Source organism: Homo sapiens, chromosome 4 (assembly GCF_000001405.40).
Source record: "Homo sapiens chromosome 4, GRCh38.p14 Primary Assembly".
Taxonomy (NCBI): domain Eukaryota; kingdom Metazoa; phylum Chordata; class Mammalia; order Primates; family Hominidae; genus Homo; species Homo sapiens.
Window position 1 is genome coordinate 132,169,033 of NC_000004.12, and position 23,145 is coordinate 132,192,177.

The following is a 23,145-nucleotide window of genomic DNA, read 5'->3' on the forward strand; positions in this document are numbered from 1 at the left end:
TTTGGGGCTGCTGACTCTTGGATGCGGTTTTTATGGTGGCCTTTTTGTTGTTGTTGTTGTTGTTGATGCCATTGTTGTCACTTTCTGCTTGTTTGTTTTCTGTCAGTAGTCAGGTCCCTCTTCTGTAGGGCTGCTGCAGTTTGTTGGGGGTTCACTTCAGGCCCTATTCATCTGATTTGCTCCCATGCCTGGAGATGTCATTCAGGGAGGCTGGATAACAGCAAAGATGGGTGCCTATTGCTTCTTCTGGGACCTCTGACCTTGAGGGGCACCAATCTGATGCCAGTAAGATTGCTCCTGTATAGGTTGTCTCACAACCCCTGTTGGAGGGTCTCACCCAGTTGGGTGGCACGGGGAACAGGACCCATTTAATGAAGCACTTTCTCCCTCAGTGGAGGGGGTGTGCTTCACTTGGGGAAAACCCACTCATCTGGGCTGCCCAGATTCCTCAGAACTACCAGGAATAGAGGCTAAGTCTGCTGGTCTGCCGAGACTGCGGCCACCCCTCCCGCTAGGGGCTTAGGCCCAGGGAGATCTGATTTCCGTCCCTGAGTCTTTCGGAATTCCTGCAGGGAAGCTCCACCCACTGAGGAAAGATGGGTCAGGGTTACACCTGAAGAGGCACTCTGGCCGCAGACTGCCACAGGTGCTGTGTTGGACTGTGGGGACAAGTCTTGGGACCAAGCTGTCTAGCCTCCCTGGCTCCAGGAGGTAAGAAGTGCAGCCTGGAGCTATAGAAGTGGGTGCTGCCCTTCCCCCACCCAGGGACTTTATCGTGTTAGGCAGCTGTGAGTCCCCGTGCTGGCTCCTGCCCCTCCTCTAAGGAGCTCAAATGGCTTAGACAGCAAGCAGCCACAGCCAGTGCTTGTTGCCCCTCCCCCAGGGATTTGGTAGGCTTAAGCAGATTCCAGCTGAGGCTGTAAGATTCTGGCTGTTCCAGGGTTGGGACGCTAGACCCTGGTGGCATGGGTTCACTAGTGGCATCTTCCAATCCATGGGTTGCACAGTTACGTGGAAAAAGCACAGTTTCTCTGGCTGGGTGGCATGCTCACTCACCAACTCCCTTGGCTGGGGGGCAGGGTTCCCCTGCCCCTAGTGGCTCTCAGGTGGGCCACCACACCACACTGTTCTTTCTTCTCTCCTTGGGTCACACCAGGTTTCTAGTCAATTTTGATGTGACAACCTGGATACCTGGGTTGCTGGTGAAGGATTCACATGCTTATTATGATTTTTTACTATGGGAGCCTCCAAATGGTGCTGCTTCTAGTCAGCCATCTTGGCCCCGCCTCTCCTTGTTTTTCTTTTAGTCACCTTTCCACCTGCTCAGTATTCTCTCCCTTCATTTTTTACTCTCCTTAAATTTGGATGAAACACTACATGGAGGATTATAGGTTCTAGAATTCTGAATGGCTATCAAGAAGTTAAATGATTAAATCTAAAGTTGTAAGACAAAACTTGATCAATGAAAAATGGGACAAGGTAACAGACATAAACTATCTTTTTTGTCTTCTGTAAAGTACTCTGAGTTTCCATTCTTGTGTCTTTTTTGAGACATACCATATGCTGTGTGCAAAGTGCTGCTGAATAAGTCATTGTGTTTTCTTGCTTAGGATGTAATGCATCATGTCAGATATTTTATTGCCTCAGTTCAACTTTTCCTTCAATCTCATTGTCTTAAAATTATACTCCCAAAGTATTAGAATATTAATTATATTATTAATCTTATTTTTGGAGGACTTAGAATCAGATAATTGGTGGTGAAACAGTTTTAGAAAATAGAACCTCCAGTTGGGTTTTCATAGATACATTTCTTATCTATCTGCAAGTGACAGAGACCAAATAGCTGTTGGTAAATTGGATGATAGTTACTCCCACATTTAGTAGTATTAAAATTACTTAAATTTTCATCAAGTAGCCCAGATATTTAAGTATGCATTCTATCTTCTTAGCAATACTAACTCCCCCTCAAATCTCATCTATGTCTTTTGGAAAGTTACTTCCACCAACTGAGATTGAAGGAAACAACTTAGTCCTAGTTTACAAATTGGTGCACAGAGTATTTTGGCTCAATCTGAAATGGATCTGTTGCCAAATAACAGTGTCCCTCAGGAATGGTCCTAGAGAAGAGTGGTGAAAGGAAGTTTTCCCAGTAGTCAGACCTATGATCAGTATAATTCATAATCTACTTTGTATATAAAAAAAAATGTACTGATAATAATCTACAATGACTTGAAAAAATTAATAAATGACTGGGAAAGTGGGTCACAAGCCTGCATACAGCAATTCCTAGAAAATTGATAAGGAAGTCTGACAAAAATATAAGTGGCTGGATTTCTGGAAATGAGTTCAGAGCATTTAGATATTTTTGTCTTGTCTGTCTGTTTAGTACTCTAAGGGGCAAAGCTTGTGTTGGATGCCAGAAAATCTTCTCCTCCGATACAGGGCTTGTACAATCAGCCCACAAACAAAAGTGGGCAATGTTTGAGCTCAACAACACGGGCTTCTCCTCAGTACGGCTTTCTGTCTACTTCCATCACTGAGTACTAACCTGTCAGCAGCATAGACTAGGGTTGACACACTTCCATGGGAAGACTAGCCAGTAACTTGGCAGTGGATAAATGATATCGGAATGCCTTTAACTTTTGATTGGGCAGTAGTACTTTCTTATTACACCAGGTATATACTCTGAATGTATACCAGGTATACACTCTGAATAAGTTTGCCTTTACTGATCATAATGTCTCTACCAGTACAATGATCTGTGGGCTTACAGGATGCCTTATTTTATGACATCATTTCATAGAACATTGGCTTGAACCAGTGGGTTGATCTTACAGTGAAGAAGAGGCACCAAGATGTTCAGATCATAGGACACATTGATTTTACCATGTACCCCATCAACGAGAAGCAATTGACTAACTTGTTGTTTAAAACAGACATTTAAAGCCTTATTTAAAGTAACTTCATCTCGGCCGGGCGCGGTGGCTCACGCCTGTAATCCCAGCACTTTGGGAGGCTGAGGCGGGTGGATTACGAGGTCAGGAGATCGAAACGATCCTGGCTAACAGGGTGAAACCCCGTCTCTACTAAAAATACAAAAAATTACCCGGGCGTGGTGGCGGGCACCTGTAGTCCCAGCTACTCGGGAGGCTGAGGCAGGAGAATGGCGTGAACCCGGAAGGCGGAGCTTGCAGTGAGCCGAGATTGCGCCACTGCACTCCAGCCTGGGTGACAAAGCGAGAGAGACTCTGTCTCAAAAAAGAAAAAAAAAGTAACTTCATCTCTTGGTGAAGCTAGTGTATGCCCTCCAGGATTCAGAACATCTCTTGAATGAATAACTGATTCACAGGTCACTGTCTCTATGTCCAAAACATGTGAATCTCAGGGTAAAGTTAGCAATGGCCCTTCCTTTAGTCACTTGCATTTGTGTTTACTACTTCTTCTAATTTGGACTCTGGCATGTTTGGGGGAACATTTTCTTCAATGGGCACAATAAGGCTTCATTTAAACTTGTTTTGTGACTACCAACTGGCTTTTAGTGATACATTTTCTTTGATGAAGAAGTCACAGAGAGTTATTGGTTAGAATGGCTTAGCCTGATTACCACAAAGATTTTGGGGTGCTATAACACATTAGGAGCAGTGATGAATATGGAAGCCAGAGGATTTACTGGGCAAAACTCCATACTCAGTAATGTCAACGGGGAACTACAACACACATAACCAAGCCACATCAGAACAATAGAGTGCTTTACCATCAAGAATGAGAAGAATCTAGAATAAGTTTTAAAGGCAGGAGATAAGAATTATCTGTAAATGGCTCAGGGTCAGCTCCAGCAGTGGCAACTATAAATTGGTGTACTAAAAAATAATTATTTTATCATTTTTATAATAGTAATCAGCTATAATCTTCTGGAAGACTCCTGTATAGTCCTCCAGGTGATTATAGCTGATTACTGTTATAAAAAGAATGCTAATTCTACTTGTTTTTTTCTCTTCAAAAATGAGTTAGAGAAACTGTTCTCACACTGATATTGGAGTCTCAGTATTTTTTTAAATTGAAACAAGATACAGTGGAAGAACACAGTTGGATCCAAATGCTATTAGAAAAGCAAACTATATTCTCTTCTATGGTCTCCTTTGATTATCAGTTTTTTCTTTTGGTCAGTGCTTCATTTTCACTGGGTGACAGCTCCACTTTTGAGCTTGATGAAATAACACATCATCAGAATTAGGAGGTTTCCAGAGTGTCCAGTTAGAGGCTTAATAGATGCAACCCTCAATTCCTGAGATCCAAATGGCTTTATTAAGTAGTAGCCAGTGAGGCAAGTCACAAAATATGACTCGTTAGAATCCTTCATCATTTTTATTTTTATTTTAATTCTCACTGCCTTGAATGTGCCTTTCTCAAACAGTGTTAGCAACCTTATTTTCACTTCATGTTCTGCGTCAAGCTGAAACAATAAAGATTCACAAGTTAAAAAACAGTTTTTAATGTAACTTATATGAACGCATTTTTTTGTTGTTCTTTTTGGTTTTTATCCTTTTGTTTCCCTATACCTGGCTCTCAGAGATATGTAAGCACTTTAAGGCAGAGTTTGTCTTGCAATTCTGTGTACTTGATTTTCAGAATGTACTTTTATAGAAAAAAAATCTATAAGCAAACTATTTGGCCGTCATACATATAAAAGATTTTTAATCATACTATGTGTGCATCAGCCACTTGTGCATGAAAAAATAAAACACTTACATGTATCAAAGAAGAACAAATATATACATATCAAAACTTAAATAGGAAAGTGGTTGACTAATAATCACGCTCCTCATTGGTATAAGTGAAACTAAACAATTATAAATACACTTATATACTCATAATACATTTGCCCTCTCTCAATAGGTTACTCAATTTCACTTTCTGAAATATAAAAAATACCTAATAATATTATACTTAAAATAATAAGAGCAGCAACTTTGTTGTTTAAAACATGTAAACAATAAGTATAATAATATATGTATAAACAAATCTATTTTATGCCTTTTTTCCTGGTGTAGAAAATCTTCAATGAGCTATCATTATCTCTCAAAACCTATGTTATATCCTCCTCAATTGTTGCAAAATAATAAAATTATTAAAGTACTGGTTATGGATAGAATTAGGTTTGTTTTTAATTTCAATTATTTTTTACTTTATACTATTTCTGTATTCCTAAACAAGTTAGTTAACCTCCCCAAGTGACTTAGTCACCTGAAGAACAGAGATGTTATTAATATTCTCACTGTATGGTTGAGTCAATTCACAGATTTTTTTTTTCAAAATTACTCTCTTCCCAAAGTTCCCGTGAAACCACACTGTTGTGACAATGTGTTTATACTAAAACAAATATTTTTATTTTTCTAGATTAGCAAATCTACTCTTGGAACAGAGTGCACTTTTGCATAGAATATATTTACTTCATAAAATTACAAAAGAGCATTAAAGGTGTTAAAATATTTAAATTTTTAGAATGCTTTAAATAGAATACTTGTTATTATACAAATATTAAATTATGCTGTATTTTTGAACAAATTAAATCAATAAACTCTGAAACAAAAATAAGAATAATTTCTGACCTTCAGATCTTCTGCATAAATAACGTAAACAAACAGAGAAAAACTGCCTACTTTAGACTTAGGAAATATCTGCATATATGTCATGGTGGTGCTATTTTGTTTGTTTGTGTCAAAGTGAAGGCTTTAATGGTGAAATGGCTACATGAACATTTGAAGGTAGGTACTTTTCTATGCAAAATTTTCATTTAGAAGTCTTTATGCATAATGCTATTTACCTGGCAATTTATTTTACTTAAGACATAATTTATTGTCCCTTTTCATATCTATAATCTTGTGATCTGTCAGCATACCTGAAAATACAGACAAGAGCCAGGTTCCGTTATTCATTGATGGTTCCCAATAAATGATGTCAAACATTAATTACATTAGCTAGCTTTGGTCCCTGCTCATAACATGTTCTGTCAATCACGGCATTCACTGTTGATTTCATGTTGTACCTCTTGAAAGCCATTACTACCTAATAGCTTTACTTTTTTACTATAAATAACATATTTGGAACATCTCACTGAACTCCCTGCACATGATTTTCAGATTCTAGGCTGCTAGATCACTGAAAAAATAATTTCTCAGAGAATGTTTATTTGATTAATGTTTTACCTTTCTTTAAAATTTCCTTATATCAAATAAATTACTATCATAATCTATACTTTCTATATGGCACTATCAAAACATGACTTAAATATAAAAATATAATATAAATATATAATATTTATATGAATAATATAAAAGAATGTAAAAGAAAAAATATAATTAAAAATATAATGGGATAAGTGCAACATTTAAAATCCTAAAAGGTAACAATCTTCAAACATATTTAATATAAATCTTATGAGTTTATTTTCCATTTAAAATAATTTTGAGTAAGTTATCCTACAAATACTACATGATTATATTTCTATTAACTTATCCCTAATTTATGTGTTTCCTTAACGGTAATTCTTTGTTCATAAAGTTGCTGCTTTTTGCCAAAGTTATTATTAGGTAGTTTATGGTTTGTATTATTTTTGTAAATAATACATGCTTATTTCTGATTAACATATTTTTTATAGTCTACATGGGAATACAATTGGTTTTAGTACTGGCTTTTTCTAGGGAAGTTTTCCTGAACTCAATTATAATATCTAGTTATTATTCCACAGTTTCTTATGGATTTTTCTATATAGTTATCTAAATTAAAGATAGTGAATATTTGGTTTCATCTTCTTGATTTATGCCTTTTATTTTTTCATTTCTCAGTTCTGACTATACCTTCTGCTAAATGTTGACTACAGCAAGTGATTCATGGCCACAGTGCTCCTGATTCAACAGTGATATTTTTAATATTTTTTAATGTTAACAATGCTAAAGCACACTCCAGCCAACAAACAAAATGGAGTACTTGTGGCTAACGGAGGTTCTTAAAGTTAAAACAGAGCCAGGTGGTCATGTTTCAGGGAGAGTAGTCACATGTTCTCAAAGATGTTGTCACTGTATGATGAGACCTTCCTTTTTTTTTTTTTTTTTTTGAGACGGAGTCTCGCTCTGTCGCCCAGGCTGGAGTGCAGCGGTGTGATCTTGTCTCACTGCAAGCTCCGCCTCCCAGATTCACGCCATTCTCCTGCCTCAGCCTCCTCAGTAGCTGGGACTACAGGTGCCCGCCACTACGCCCGGCTAATTTTTTGTATTTTGTAGTAGAGACGGGGTTTCACCATGTTAGCCAGGATGGTCTCGATCTCCTGACCTCATGATATGCCCGCCTCTGGCCTCCCAAAGTGCTGGGATTACCGGCATGAGCTACCGCGCCCAGCCAAGACCTTCCTTTCTATAAGGAATCCAAACCAGTTCCTGTTGAGCTTTGAGAAAAAAAAAAAAAATCTGATACGAATTTCTGGTTTTGGGCTTGGGAACCAACCAATCAGTGCTCACTTGCCCCAGCCAATCAGAACTCAGCTCTATCAACCAATCAGAACTTAGCAATGTCAGTTTGAATCCTTCATTTGGATAAACAAATCTTATTGGAAACCTGGGATGGAACTGTGGCTGTAAAACCTGAACCCTCTATTTTTCCTCTGAGACAGACCTTCATTTTACACTAAAGACTACCTTTCCCCTGGTTTTCAAACTGTTCACTGGAATACAATGTATTCCTTCCAAATTCCTTTTAAGAGAATGTTTTGTTCACAACAATATATTGTTTGTTTACCGTAATGTTGTTGGATTACCATAATGTTTCTTGTGATAATTTCTAACATATCAGTCATTATATTAATTAAGGTAGTTTTTATTCCTAGTTTGCTCGATGCTTTTGCCAGAATTTTCTGGCAAATGTAGAATGTGTACTTATTGAGCATCTCTTTCTTTAAGCAGTGTTTTCATGAATTTAAAATGATGATCATGACTCATACTATTTATTGGAATGGTTGAATACCAATCTTCCTTTTTCTAACAAAAGGAAACTGAGGAACAATTATCAAAAACAACTTGTAGCCTCATCAGTAATTCTAACACTCACAGTACCTTGTAAATTTAATAAATTTTACTGTTACTTTGGCAGTTCTTTACAATGTTATTTTTAAAAAGAAAATTTTATATGAATTACTTTATTTAAAACACATTAAAACTATATTTGAAACATAACCAATATTTGGAAAAATATTTGCATAGTTTACATCTGATGAAGCTTTAATATTCAGAATATCTATAACTTCTACAACTTAACAAAAATATAACCCATTTTAAAAAAAAGGCAAATGAATTATTTCTTCAAAACTGTATTAAAATAGGTAATTTGCATATAAAAAAGATGTTTAACATAATTAGCCATCAGAGTAATGCAAACCAAAGTCACAATGAGATATTACATCGCATGTACTAGGATGTTGGTGATAATAATAATAATAATGGAAATTAATAATTGTTGGCAAAAATTTGAAGAGACCAGAACCCTTGTTCATTGCTGGTAGGAATGTAAAATGGTGTAGCCAGTATAGAAAACAGTTTGGAAATTACTCAAAAAATTAAGCATGGAATTACCATATGATCTAGAAATTTCAATTCTAGGTATATACCTCCTAAAATTTAAAAAAAATGGGGGTTTAAGCAGACTCTTATACATAAATGTTTATTGTGAAATTATTCAAAATATACAAAAGGTAAAAAGCACACACGTCCATCAACAGATTAATAACTAAATAAAATGTAGTATTCACACACACTGGACAATTATTTAGCCAAAAAAAGTTAAAGTTTTCATGCACAGTATAATACAGATGGACTTCTAAGACAATATTTGTAGTAAAATCAGCCACACCAAAAGGACAAATAGGGCACAAAATATCTAGAAGAGGCAAATCCATAAAGACAAAAAGTAGATTAAAGATTTCTAGGGTCAAAAGAAAGATACCGGAAAGTTATTGTTTAAGAGGTGCCTAGTTTCTGGAAATATTTGGAAATAGTTATATATATATATCCACAATATATATAGTAGTATGTGTGTGTGTGTACACACATATATATGGCCACAATAAAAAATCTATATGCAAAACACATGTGCCAATTAATGGTGATTTGTGTTTACTGATTCTAAATGCTTACACGTTACAGGAACTGGAGGAAGTCAATTTGAACCTAATATGTAATGAATTAAATAATTTCATTTGGGAAGACAATGGTTAAAAAACATCGTTTAATGCTGGAAATGTGACAGAATATTCACAGTTGCTGTATTTGTGTTACATTTTAAACCAATTTTAAAATTCCATTTTTGTTGTTTCAAATGTAGATGCAAAAATAATAGTGGATAAAGTTGAATAATTAAAAATCAATTTTTGGCTTGTAGTCTTGACTTTGCATTAATTGTGAGATCGTCTTTAAGTTATTAAAGTGCTTGCAACCTCTTTTTTTCATATCTGTAAAATGAGAGCTTTCTAAAAGCTTATCTTTTAGAAGCTTATCTTTTTGGGGATCCATAACCTCAAGTATGATTATATGAATAGAATTATTATGTTTATCTTGACAAGTTGATATAAAAGTTATTTAAAATGTGAACTATTATCTAGAAAAAAATGGTTACACCAGAAATCATTTTTATGATTGTTTTAATAATGCCAGTTTCATGCTTTATTAGAATATTTGAGTAAAAATATTTAACCACTGCATAAGCAAAACACAGGAAAATTAGCATGTGTGATATATAATCCTCAAAATGTACAGTTTTAGTCACATTGTGAATCAAAATTTCTTGACATGTCTTAAGAATGTAAAAATAGGGCCGGGCGCGGTGGCTCACGCCTGTAATCCCAGCACTTTGGGAGGCCGAGGCGGGTGGATCATGAGGTCAGGAGATCGAGACCATCCTGGCTAACAAGGTGAAACCCCGTCTCTACTAAAAATACAAAAAATTAGCCGGGCGCGGTGGCGGGCGCCTGTAGTCCCAGCTACTGGGGAGGCTGAGGCGGGAGAATGGCGTGAACCCGGGAAGCGGAGCTTGCAGTGACCCGAGATTGCGCCACTGCAGTCCGCAGTCCGGCCTGGGCGACAGAGCGAGACTCCGTCTCAAAAAAAAAAAAAAAAAAAAAAGAATGTAAAAATAATAATAATAATAAGGGAAGCTCTATCTTCTTTCAGCCCATAAATAGAACCAGAACTATCAGAATTTTTGGATGGCTGGTTGGCTATAAATTGGTTCAGTGGCCTTCACAAAAAGGTTGACTTCCTTTCTCAGAATCTCAGATACTCAGAAAAACTTCTATAATTATGGCAATAAGTATTCTTCTTCTTTATAAGAACAGTCAACTTATATTCATTTCTTAATATTGAATTAAATACTAAGAAAATTCTATATATTGAAGGGTTTCAAATAAATTCATACAAATATAAAGTTTATAAATAGCATTTACAAAATCAGAGAATAAGTAAGAAATTTAATCTACCTTGACATTAAAAAGTATAATTGTCATAGAAGCTCTTTTATGTATCAGTTAAGTATCAAGAGATTCTGTAGTGCTATGTTTTAGCATATAAATTTGTATAGACCGTGCTCAAGTATTTTCTTAATAATACTGTTTCACATTATATTATTTCCAGTTAAACTATCCTATTTACTATCACATATGTATTATCACAATATTTAAAATTGGTTTGGAGGAGCCTTATTAGAGATTGTATAGGTAGGTAATTATTCTGCATAGTCAGTAATAAATAAAATCTAAAATGTGAGGCTAAATCTTTATTTCAATTACCTTTTAAATAAACACATGTATTTGATATTTAGTTTTCAGGCTTTCTGATCCAGATTTTCTGCCTCATTTTCTCTATTGTATCACTCTAGTTATAATCCTTTGCACTATCATAGATAGTGGTCACAACCTGTTGTGAGAAGCTTTCTTTACTCATAGGTTTTCGTTATGGAGGTAAGAGTTAATGGCAGCAGACAGGACTCCCTGCAGCAATCTGAGTCACTTACACTTTCCAGATCAGTGACTTCTCTACTCAGAATAGTCTTAAATTGCAACCATGAGTACACACACACGCACACACACACTCTAACCTTTCACTTTGTTCAAGAGTTAATCTAAAAGTATGCTATGCCTAAATGGAAGATTTAAAAAAAAAAGAAAACAAGAGTAATAGGATGGAGAGAAATATTTGTAATAATAGGCATACCTCAGAGATGCTGTGGGTTTCATTCAGAACAAAACAATAAGACCAATATCACAGTAAAGTGAGTCATATTAAGTCATATTAAAACTATTTTGTAGTCTATTTGGTGTGCTATAGCATCATGTCTAAAAAATGTACATATCTTAGTTAAAAATATTTTATTTTTAAACAATGGTAATGAGCATCACAGCCTTTGGTAAATTGTAGTCTTTTTGATGGTGGAGGGTCTTGCTTTCTAGTTGATGACTGCTGATTTATCAGGACAGTGGTTGCTGAAGGTTAGGGTGGCTGTGGGAACCTCGCAAAATAATAAACAAGTCTGCTACATAAATTGATTCTTTCCTTCACAAAATATTTTTCTGTAGCATGTAAAGCTGTTTCATAGCATTTTACACACAGATCTTTCAAAATTGGAGTCAGTTCCTTCAAACTCTGCTGCTGCTTTATCAACTAAGTGTGTGTAATATTTCAAATCCTTCATTGTCAGTTCAACAATGTTCATAGCTTTTTCAACAGGAGTTGATTTCATCGAAAGAAATCACTTTCTGTGCTCATCCTTAAGAAGCCACTCTTCATTTATTATTATGAGATTTCAGTAATTCAGTCACATCTTGAAGCCCTACTTGTAATTCTAGCTATCTTGTTATTTCTACCATATCAAGCATTACATTTCTATCTCCTCCAATAAATTATAAATATTCTTAATGGGATCTAGAATAGTGAATCTTTTCCAGAAGGTTTTCATTGACTTTGTTTGGGTCCACCAGATGAATCAATCTCAATGGCAGTTGTAGCTCTTAAAAATCTATTTCTTAAATAATGAGACTTGAAAGTTGACATCACTCTGTGATCCATGGGCTGAAGAACGGATGTGATGTTATGCATAAAAACAACATGAATCTTCTGATACATCTCCATTAGAACTCTTGGGTGACTAGGTTCATTGTTAATGAGCATTACATTTTGAAATAAATATGTTTTTTTTTTCTGAGCATTAGTTCTCAACAGTGGGCTTAAAATATTCAGTTAACCATACTATAAACAGATGTGCTGTCATCCCGGCTTTATAATTACATTTATAGAGTACAAGCAGAGTAAATTTAGCATACTTCTTAAGGGCCCTAAAATGTTTAAATAGTAAGTAAGCATTGGCTTCAACTTAAAGTCAACAGATGCATTAACCTTTAAAAGAGGGTCAGCTTGTCATTTGAAGCTTTGAATCCAGGCATTGACTTCTCCTCTTCAGCTATGAAAGTCCTAGATGACATCTTCTTATATAAGTCTGTTTTGTTCCTATTTGTCTTCAGTTAAATTGAAAACCTGCTGTTTAGCATATCCACCTTCATCAACGATCTTAGCTAGATTTTTCTGGATAACTAGCTGTGGTTTCTACATTAGCACTTGCTGCTTTACCTTGCACTCAAGTCCCAAAAATGACTTCTTTTCTTAAACCTCATGAATCAGTATCTGCTAGCTTCAAACTTTTCTTCTGCAGCTTCCTCACCTCTCTCCGCCTTCATAGACTTGAAGAGAATAGGGGTCTTGCTTTGGATTTGGTTTCGGTTTAAGAGAATGTTGTGACTGATTTAACCTTCCATCCAAACTGCTAAAACCTTCTCCATATCAGCAATAAGGCTGGTTTGCTTCCTTATCATCTGTGTGTTCACTGGAGTAGCTTTTTAAATTTCTTTCAAGAACTTTTCTTTGCTTTCACAACTTAGCTAACTGTTTGGCACAAGAGGCCTAGCATTTAGCTTATCTTAGCTTTCCACATGGCTTCCTCATTAAACTTAATCATTTCTAGCTTTTCATTTAAAGTGAGAGACATGGGACTCTTCCTTTCAGCTGAACACTTAGAGGCTGTTGTAGGATTATTAATTGGCCTAATTTTAATATTGTTATGCTCCAGGGAATAAGGAAGCCTGAGGAAGGAGAGAAATGGGGAAATGGCTGGCAGGTGGAGCAGTCAGAACACACACAACATATATTGATTAACTTTGCCGTCTTTCTGGCATGGTTTGAGGTGTACCAAAATAATTACAATAGTAACATCATGATCTCTAATCACTGCTCACCATAACAAATATAACAACAAAAAAGCTTATAATATTGCAAGACTTACTCAAGTGTCACAAAAAGCATGAAGTGAACACATGATGTAGGAAAAATGGTGCCAATAGATTTGCTGAAGGCAGGGCTGCCACAAACCTTCAATTTGCAAAAAAATGCAATCTCTACAAAGCACAATAAATTGAGGTGTACCTTTAATTGGAATTATTTACATGATTTTTCCATTGAGAGATATTGTATATTTCTCTAAGCTTCATTTTGAATATATTATATTATGATTATATTATATATATTTTGAATATATTATAGTTTTCTATTATTCTTTATGTGAGACTTTTTCATTTCTTGGTAAGTTTATTACTATGATATATATTGTAATCCTTTTAATATTACTAATGGCATTGGACATATTTTCAAAATCATTATCTTTTACTTAAAACAATGTAATTTTTATTTATTTTTTAATAATCACATTAATAAATTTTTTCACTATCCTAGAAGTCATTATTATTATAGTTTAAAAATTATATCATCTTGAAATTATGTCATCTATTTTCAAAGATTATAGATGTCTATTCTATTCAATACCTATTTTAATTGTAACAAAAGGTAAACAATAAAAATGGCACATCATCTTATATTAATATAAGAATTTCCATATAGTTCAAACATTTACTAATTAATTCACTAAACTCCTATTCTATATGATTCTGCTATTCAAATACAGATAATCTCCTATAATTGTTTCTGGATTTATTTTTTTCACATTTAGCCTGATACAGAAATTTTTGATATTACATGTGTTTAATATAAGAATATTTGAATAATTTCTTCTAAGTTATTTTATTTATTTGAAAATAAGACATTTAAAAAAATTACTATATGTTTAAAAATGTTTTTAGAACAATTTGTTTACAATTATCTGTAAACCATATTTTTAATTTCAGATTTTAGGCAATTTTTATTTGAAAAGTTTGATTCCTCTTTTGAAACTACCAATATTATTGATGTCTGTAAGAAAAAGTTGATGTTTGCATGCACACGTATGTTTATTGCGGCATTATTCACAATAGCAAAGACTTGGAACCAACCCAAATGTCCAACAATGATAGACTGGATTAAGAAAATGTGGCACATATACACCATGGAATACTATGCAGCCATAAAAAATGATGAGTTCATGTCCTTTGTAGGGACATGGATGAAATTGGAAAACATCATTCTCAGTAAACTATCGCAAGAACAAAAAACCAAACACCGCATATTCTCACTCATAGGTGGGAATTGAACAATGAGAACACATGGACACAGGAAGGGCAATATCACATTGGGGACTGTTGTGGGGTGGGGGGAGGGGGGAGGGATAGCATTAGGAGATATACCTAATGCTAGATGACGAGTTAGTGGGTGCAGTGCACCAGCATGGCACATGTATACATATGTAACTAACCTGCACAATGTGCACATGTACCCTAAAACTTAAAGTATAATAAAAAAAATACTCACAAAAATTAAATAAGCTATCAAATCACATTTTTAAAAATTTTTTTACAATCAAGATTTCTAAAAATTAAATAATGTTCCTATACTTTGGCCACTTTAAAAATAAATCAGATTCTTTGTTGGAAAAAAAAAAAAAAGAAAAAGTTGATGTTTGAAAAACAAGCACTTTTTAACATTGCTGTCAATCATATTATGTTGTATTTGGTCATCAAATATATGTTTCATTTATGAAATTACACTAACAGTTGCTTTTAGCTTATTTCTTATAATTAAGCAATTAAACAACTAATCTTTGTGTACAATTTGGAGTTGATAGATTCAATAATTAATAACATTATTATAAAGAGAAATAGAAATAACTATGAAATTCTACCAGATAATTTCTCTGAATTGTCATTATAAAATCCAATTAGAATTCTGCAAATGAAATGATTTAGCAGCAGAACTAGTTTTAGTATGAAATAGTATATCACTAATTGAAAGTGAATTGGACCATATATTCCAATTACTATCTTTCATACTATAGAGGATATACTGGTGTGTTATGAAGTATAACATTAAAACTTCATTAAATCAGGCTTAAAATCTATTAAAATATAAGTATGTATGAATTTGTCCTAGTCTTACCAATCATCGCAAAATTTTTATATCATTAATCTTCTGTGGAATTCTAAAGCAGGGAAATTTAATAAACGTAGGCATTTCTTAGATATGAACTCTTATCTTTTTTCCTAAATTAAAATATATTTGCTTCTTTAATTGTAATTAAAAATTATGAATATGTGGTTATTGTATAAAAGAATTTTGTTCAATTATAAAATGTATAAAAATATCAAGATCACTCAATACTAACACAGAAACATAATAAAATCATACTATTTTGTGTTGATGTGCATAATTTTAACTTTTATTTAATGTGTGTGTGTGTACACATGTATTTGTGTGTAGCTATGATTAGATGAAAAACAAAATCAATTTATCAATTGTGCATGTTGGATTATAATCTGTTATGCACTCACAGGCTTTAATGACTATTAGTAGAGATTTATTTCATTCTTGATATATATAGTGTTTCATAACTCATCCATAACCTACATATACATAACTTAGATATTTTTGCTATTTAAGCAATAGCAAGGCTAATGTCCAATATGTACTTTCACATATTTAGTAGATTGTTTCCACAGCAAAAATTAATCAAGTGAAATTACTATGTGTATTAGTTTCTTAGAGTTACTGTTACTTCGAACTGAGTGGCTTAAAACAATATAAATTTATTCTCTCACAGTTCTGGGACAAGAAGTCAGAAATTAAGATAATGGCTGGGCCATACTCTCTTTGGGGACTGTAGGAGAGGATACTTCCTTGCCTCTTCCAGATTCTGGTAGTCAAGGCATTCCTTAGATTGTTCCTTGGCTTGGATATCAGTACCATATTCCCAGGATATAAATGATTGGAACAAATCACATCACTGGAGCTACCATAACCCCAAACAGGAAAATATTGGGGCTGTTCATCACTAACCAACAACACTTCTTCAAGAAGATCCTGTCTCCAAAGTGTAGAAAGAAGTCCAATGTCATAAAGATGACCAAGGTGGATGTTTTCTCTGAAAGTAGAAACTGTTCCTTAGTCCCACCATCTTTATATACACCCGAGAGATACACCTTTAGCCTAAGAAATTTTGGTGGCCCCTTCAAAATCTAAGATAGTTCAGAACATGAAGAAATCAAAGGTTTTTGTGATACATTCATCACAGCCTGTGAGGTCTAACAACCTTGGAGGAGAAAGATGAAAGCGGTATGGGGTGGCATGTCTATATCTACAAGGAAGGAGTTATGCAGAGAATAGATAGGGCCTTGTGTCTGATGGCATCTGTGGTTTGTCTGTTTGTTTAGAACAGAAGAGTTTAGTTTAGTCAATTGTGTTACCCTCACTCTCCTGGCATCAGGAGGCAGTAGGCAGAGGAAGAAGAAATGATGGGTGGAAAGAGAAGGATGCTTGGGCTCCAATACTCCTCTCCTCTTCCTGGCTAGAAAAAGATGATGGAGACGAGACAAGCAGCAGCAGCAGCTATTTTTTTAATCAATAAATATACTTCATTACTGAGCCGGCAGAAAAGTGTGCGAAGAGGACCTGGGATGGGAAGGAAGGGAGAGAAGCATGGTGCAAGACCCCCACCACTATTCTCACCCCTTCTGTCTTAAAACTATGAACAAACTTTTAACATGGCCCCCCTGTCTCCGGGGCTTCTTTGAAGCTGCACTGAAGGGGACACCTGGCAGAGAGACAAGGCTGAGGCGACAGAGGGAAAAAAAGAGGGAGGAAGGAAAAGAGAGAGGGAGAGAGGAAAAGGAAGGGGAAGAGAGGGTGAGGCCTCAAAACCTGCCATTATTATTATGCTTCATCATCTTACAATCTAAAATTTCCACATTGTAACCTCACGTTAGTTTGTACTTCTTTAAATATTAGTAAGAATACATCTATTTCTGCTTATTTATTGGACGGTTTTTGTGATTTTTTTCTGAACATACATTAACTTCCTCCCCCTTTGAGTTATTCATTTTCTATATTGAATTGTTTCCACATTATTAATGAGTTCTTATCACTTATAATACAAATACTTTTCATACCTTTCTATTTTATCAATTTCATTTTTGTATTAATTTTTATTTTACCCTCCTTGAGTTGTAATTTTAATTTACTTTCATCTGCCATCCCTCTGTATGTTCCTTTATGGTTTCTATATTTAGTGTCATGAAGCTATATCCATATGCCCAAAGTAAATTAAATAGGTACCTTAATTTTTTTGTTCCACATAATTATATTTTAATGGGACTTTTAATTTAAATTTGATATTACAAAATCCGTAACAATTTATCCAATATTTTAGGATATTTTTATTCATTTTAAACTTCATTATATAATAGACACCATATTATGTATGCCTACTATATAATAAAGCATATCTTGCTATTTATTAAACTGCCTATTTGATAGATTATAAGAATGTAAGTTGCAAACTAATGTGTATGCGTGATATGTGTTACAACTGAATTATTTCCAAGCATTAACTTTATTTTTGTTTCGGTTCTGCTAAACAGTATACATGACACCATAACTAATATTAATGGAAACACAATGCAAATGAAAACATAGTTAATTAATACTTTTGAATGTTAATAATAACAATACATTAAAGCTTAAGTCTCTTTTATTTATAAGACCCTAAATAGGACATTTGCATGTATTATCCCATTTGATCATCACCCTATTCCTGTATTTTCTTAGCTCCATTTACAAACGTGTAAATGTTTTCTCAGAACATTACAATAACTCAATTAATGTTACAGACTTAGAACATACAGAAAATGTATTCCATAACCAAAAATTTTAAAGACTACTCTGTGTTGCTTATATGGTAGGAGTTAAAATCTTGTTCTCAACAATAAGAAAGAGTTGGGCTGAATTTTATTTATATTATATCACATGTTAGCATAGATAATGCTGCTACTTTTGTTAAATTGGGTAATTATAAAACCACAAAAAATAAACTGAGGAAGTTTATTCAGTGGTATAGAGTAAACCAGCCATAAATTGAACTTGAGTAGGCATTTTATAGTAAGTTAATATCTCTTTATTAATAGCACATTTATATTTTAATTTTATAGGTTATTTTAAAATACTCAACACTAGAGTTTTCTATAAGGATACTTCATTTTACCAAGTCCTGCAGTTTATGTCTACACCATTTTCATAATATGTGTCACTAAAAGTAATAACAGAAAAAATATTATACTTGGAAGTTCTAATAATGGCAACAGCTTTCCAACACATATCACAAAAGAGTAAAATTTGTCACAAATATTCATAGTACATATGTTCCCTCCAGCTACTTTTTTAAAATATTTTGGAATACTTCCTTTATTAAAATTCAAAATGATAAAATTACTTTAAAAGTTATTAAAATGACAAAAATATTATTTTTAAATTGAATGGCTTTATTATTTTCAGGAGATAGAATATTTTCAAATAAAGTTGTGAGCATATTAACAGCAGATTAATCACAGTTATTTGAAAACCCTGGCTAAGGTATATATGATTACCAGATGATATTATATGTATTTTATATATACATAATATATATACACAAATATACACACATATATAGTATATATGTACTATATATATAATCACACTCATTCACATATGTACATACCTGTATATTTGCAAGGATATTTTTTTCTTCTGTATTAATTACCTACTGTTTATGCACTAATTAAAAATATTTTTATCATCAACATTTTATTCCTTATAATAGTAAGTTAGACACAAAAAGTTAGAAAACAATCTTTATTCTTAGGCCTCATTTATATGTAAGTCTTAAGAGAACATAGGAGAGATTTAAGGTAACTTTAAAAGCAATTAACACTTCTTTTCTGAAGTCGAATATGGACGTTAATCATGAGAGAAAGGGTAAGGAGAGAGGAGGAAGGGGAGGGTTAGGAAGCAATATTAATTTGTTTTAAATATTTAGATGATACTTCTAGTAATGCCAATCTATTTTTAATACTAATTTTGGAAACTATGTGAATTTTTTTTCTATATATGTCTAAAACTAATTTGTACTTTTATCTGTTAATACAGGATACTAGATAAAACACAAATTAAAAATTAATATATTTTGTTCCAAAGAAATTTATCTAATAAATTATAAAAACAATGCAGTTTTATATAGGGCAAATAAATTCAAGAGATAACATTTAATATATATTCTGCTACCGGTGAAATGACTTCTTTAAAGCTTTGATTTCTGGTTATTGAACCTCTTTCTGTTTTAACATGTTGTGACTATGGTTGTCTATCAGTTGCCTCCTAGTATCTGTTTACCTGATCTTATATAGTAAAAGAAACCTTAAATGTATCCACTGGGCTCCAGTCTAGCCAGAAGAATCATTTCCCAACTTCTGCATCAGTGTGTGGCTGTATCACTAACAACTGGTCAAGGGATATAAAAGAAAGCACTATGGGCAACTTCTGGAAAGAGTCCCTAAAGAACAGGGTATGACCTTTCCCTGCTCCTTCTTCCTTTTTAGGTGGGTAATATTAAGCAAATATTGGCAAATGCAGCATGACAGAAACTTGTGTAATGGATGATCTCATGTCTCAACACCAAGGATTGCTCTAAATTAATGTGTGTGAGAGAGAAATAAACTTCTCTTTTGATTGAACAACTGTTATTTTGGGCTTTATGTTACAAGCAGCTGCACAAAAGTATAACTAACAAAGTTATATTTTCATCACCATTTAATTCTAATTGTGTGTATGTGTATGAACACATATATTTCCATTAGTCTTTATTATTTTACTCTTTTATATATATATATATATATATACATGTTTTCAGTTTTCATATATGAGTAATTTGGTAGGGAGTAATAATATTTCTGATATACTATAACAACAACGTAGTTAGGAAATGTTTTCTATATTATATTAATTATTTGATATTTGTTAAAAAATTTTATGGCCTAATTGTTCAATGTTTGTAATTACTCCATGTGTGTTTGAAAATATATATTACATGATTATTTTAGATAGATAGGCATTATATATATATCAATTTGATGAATAGTCATGTTATTTGCATGTTCTGTATTCTAGTTAAAAATGAAAAATATCTCTTTTTCTTTTTCTTTTTTTTTCTTTTTTTGAGACAGGGTCTCACTCTGTCACCCAGACTGGGATGCAGTGTCGCAATCTTGGCTCACTGCAGCCTCCTGCCTACCATGCTCAAGACATTCTCCCACCTGCCTCAGCCTCCCAAGTAGCTGGCACTACAAGTGGGCAACATCAAGCCCAGCTAATTCTTTTGTATTTTTGGTAGAGACAGGGTTTCACCTTGTTGCCCAGGCTGTTCTTGAACTCCTGAGCTCAGGTGATCCACCCACCTTGACCTCCCAAAGTGTTGGGATTACAGGCATGAGCTACCACACCTGTAAAAAAAACTCTTGTTAATGTGGAAATATCTCTAAAAACTGTGTTTAAAACTTCCCGCTGCTTGGGGATTTTTAAATTTTTTCTTATTGTTTCTTTTTTCTTTTTTTGCATGTTACAAAGGTAGTTTATGTTATTAGGCACATATAATTTTGTAATTTTATAGTTTACTAGTGAATTATTTACTCTGTTATCTCAAAACACTTTTTATATGAAGTAATTTACTTTGTACTTGCTTTTTATTCTTGTTGACAGTGTAGCTAAATCATGTTTCTTTGGTTATTTGTCTCATATGGTTTTATCAGTTCTTTTACTTTTATTCTTGTTGCATCATTATGCTTTACTCTGCCTTTTGTAAACTGTGAGTTGTTCATGTCTTTTAATCCAGATTGTTTTTGCTGGCATTTTAATTCATTTATCTTTATTGTGATTATTTTACATTGAGTCCTGTCACGTTATTTTGTACTTATTAAGCATTTTTCTTTGCTTTTGACACATTTTTTCCCTTTTGTTTTTTCTTTGTCTTTTTTTTTAATTTATAGCGTTCTCTTTCTGTTAATTTCTTATACTTGTTAGAAAGTTATGCATTATACGTCTTTTGTTTTTCATAGTAGCCCAACTATTTTAACCTGTATGAAATACTCCTAATATTGCCCATTAGTTAAATAAATCAAGGCTATGCCCGTTAGTTAAATAATTCAAGGTTTTATATGCTTTAAATTTGATTATATCTGTTTTTCTTACAGTTTTGTATGCCTCCCAAATTATCATAATTAATACTTATTTACATTTATGTATATGTTTATCAATATTTATGTGATTTTTTTTTTTTGAGACAGAGTCTCACTCTGTCACCCAGGCTGGAGTGCAGTGGCAAGACTTCCACTCACTGCGACAGAGTCTCAGTCTGTCACCCAGGCTGGAGTGCAGTGGCGAGACTTCCACTCACTGCAACCTCTGCCTCCTAGGTTCAAGCAATTCTCCTGCCTCAGCCTCCTGAGTAGCTGGGATTACAGGTGCCCACCAACATGCTGGGCTAATTTTTGTATTTTTAGTAGAGATGAGGTTTCACCATGTTGGCCAGGCTAGTCTCGAACTTGTGACCTCAGGTGATCCACCTGCCTCAGCCTCCCAAAGTGTTGGGATTACAGGCATGAGCCACCATGCCCGTCTATGTGATCTTTTCAACCCACTCCTGTGTTCAATTTTCTACTAACCGCTACACATACACACACACACACACACACACACACACACACACACACATAGACACACACACTTAATATTAATTTTTCAGTGAAGGTCAGTGGCTTTATAAAATTGGTCCCAGACTTTACTCTCTGCCTATATATCAAACACAAGGTAGGTTTCATTGCCTGTCCCAAAATTGTTTTATAAACCTAACTCCTTATATATAACAATATATGCTCACATCTGGTACTAACACCCTCTTCTTCAGAGCTCGCATAATATCAGTTTGCAATTTTAAAAAATTTGGTTTACAGACCCTCTTGGTTGAGCCTTCCTTATAGATTTTGAATTATTTCATTTTAACCAGGATTTCTTGTTCTATTTAGTAGAAAGGACCAAGTGTCACCTTATACTACTGTTTTCTCCAAACTACAAGATCTCTTCTATTTTTTTCTTTTGTAAAATAATTCAATATTTGTCCTAACATTTTTCCAATGATATAATGCAAAAGCTGGAAAATTTTTCTGTAAAGATCCAGACATCAAGTATTATAGGCTGTACAGGCTATGTGGTCCCTGTTGCACTGTTGCACCACTCAACTCTGCAACTGTGGTACAAAAGCAGCCATAGACAATATACAAATAAATAGATGTGGATGTTTTTCAATATAATTGATTTATAAAAATAAGCGATATAGTTAATTTGGCCTGGAATCTGTAATAGTTTGCTGACCTCTGATATAATACATTTACAGATTCTAAGATGCATTATAAAAATGACTAATTATTCTTATCTTCCCCTTGAAATGTCCTCTAATTACCTTACCTACTTCCCCTTGAAATGTCTTCTAATTACCTTACCTACTTTAATACTGAAGTCTATGTCACTCATATTGTGTTATATCGTGCTCTGAATTTACATATATTGTATTTCTGAATGAAAAATACCAAATGATTTTATTATTGTTTTAATGCTCATGTGGTGTTTTGCATAGAATTGGGATTCATATTATTGATGAATAATAAGTGAAGTAGACTATATTAGCTACATACATATATTATGCTAATTATGCTCTAATCATACAGCTCTACAGCAATTTTACTAAAAGTTCCACACTCATTTATAGAATGCCCAG

General features: G+C 33.8%; 1 annotated feature.

Annotated features, from left to right (window-relative positions):
- Positions 278–779: an enhancer, noted in NCBI's record as "H3K4me1 hESC enhancer chr4:133090465-133090966 (GRCh37/hg19 assembly coordinates)". NCBI's record gives its function as "activates a minimal SCP1, AML or CMV promoter by ChIP-STARR-seq in naive H9 embryonic stem cells {active_cell/tissue: H9 hESC(naive)}" and the evidence as "EXISTENCE:reporter gene assay evidence [ECO:0000049][PMID:30033119]".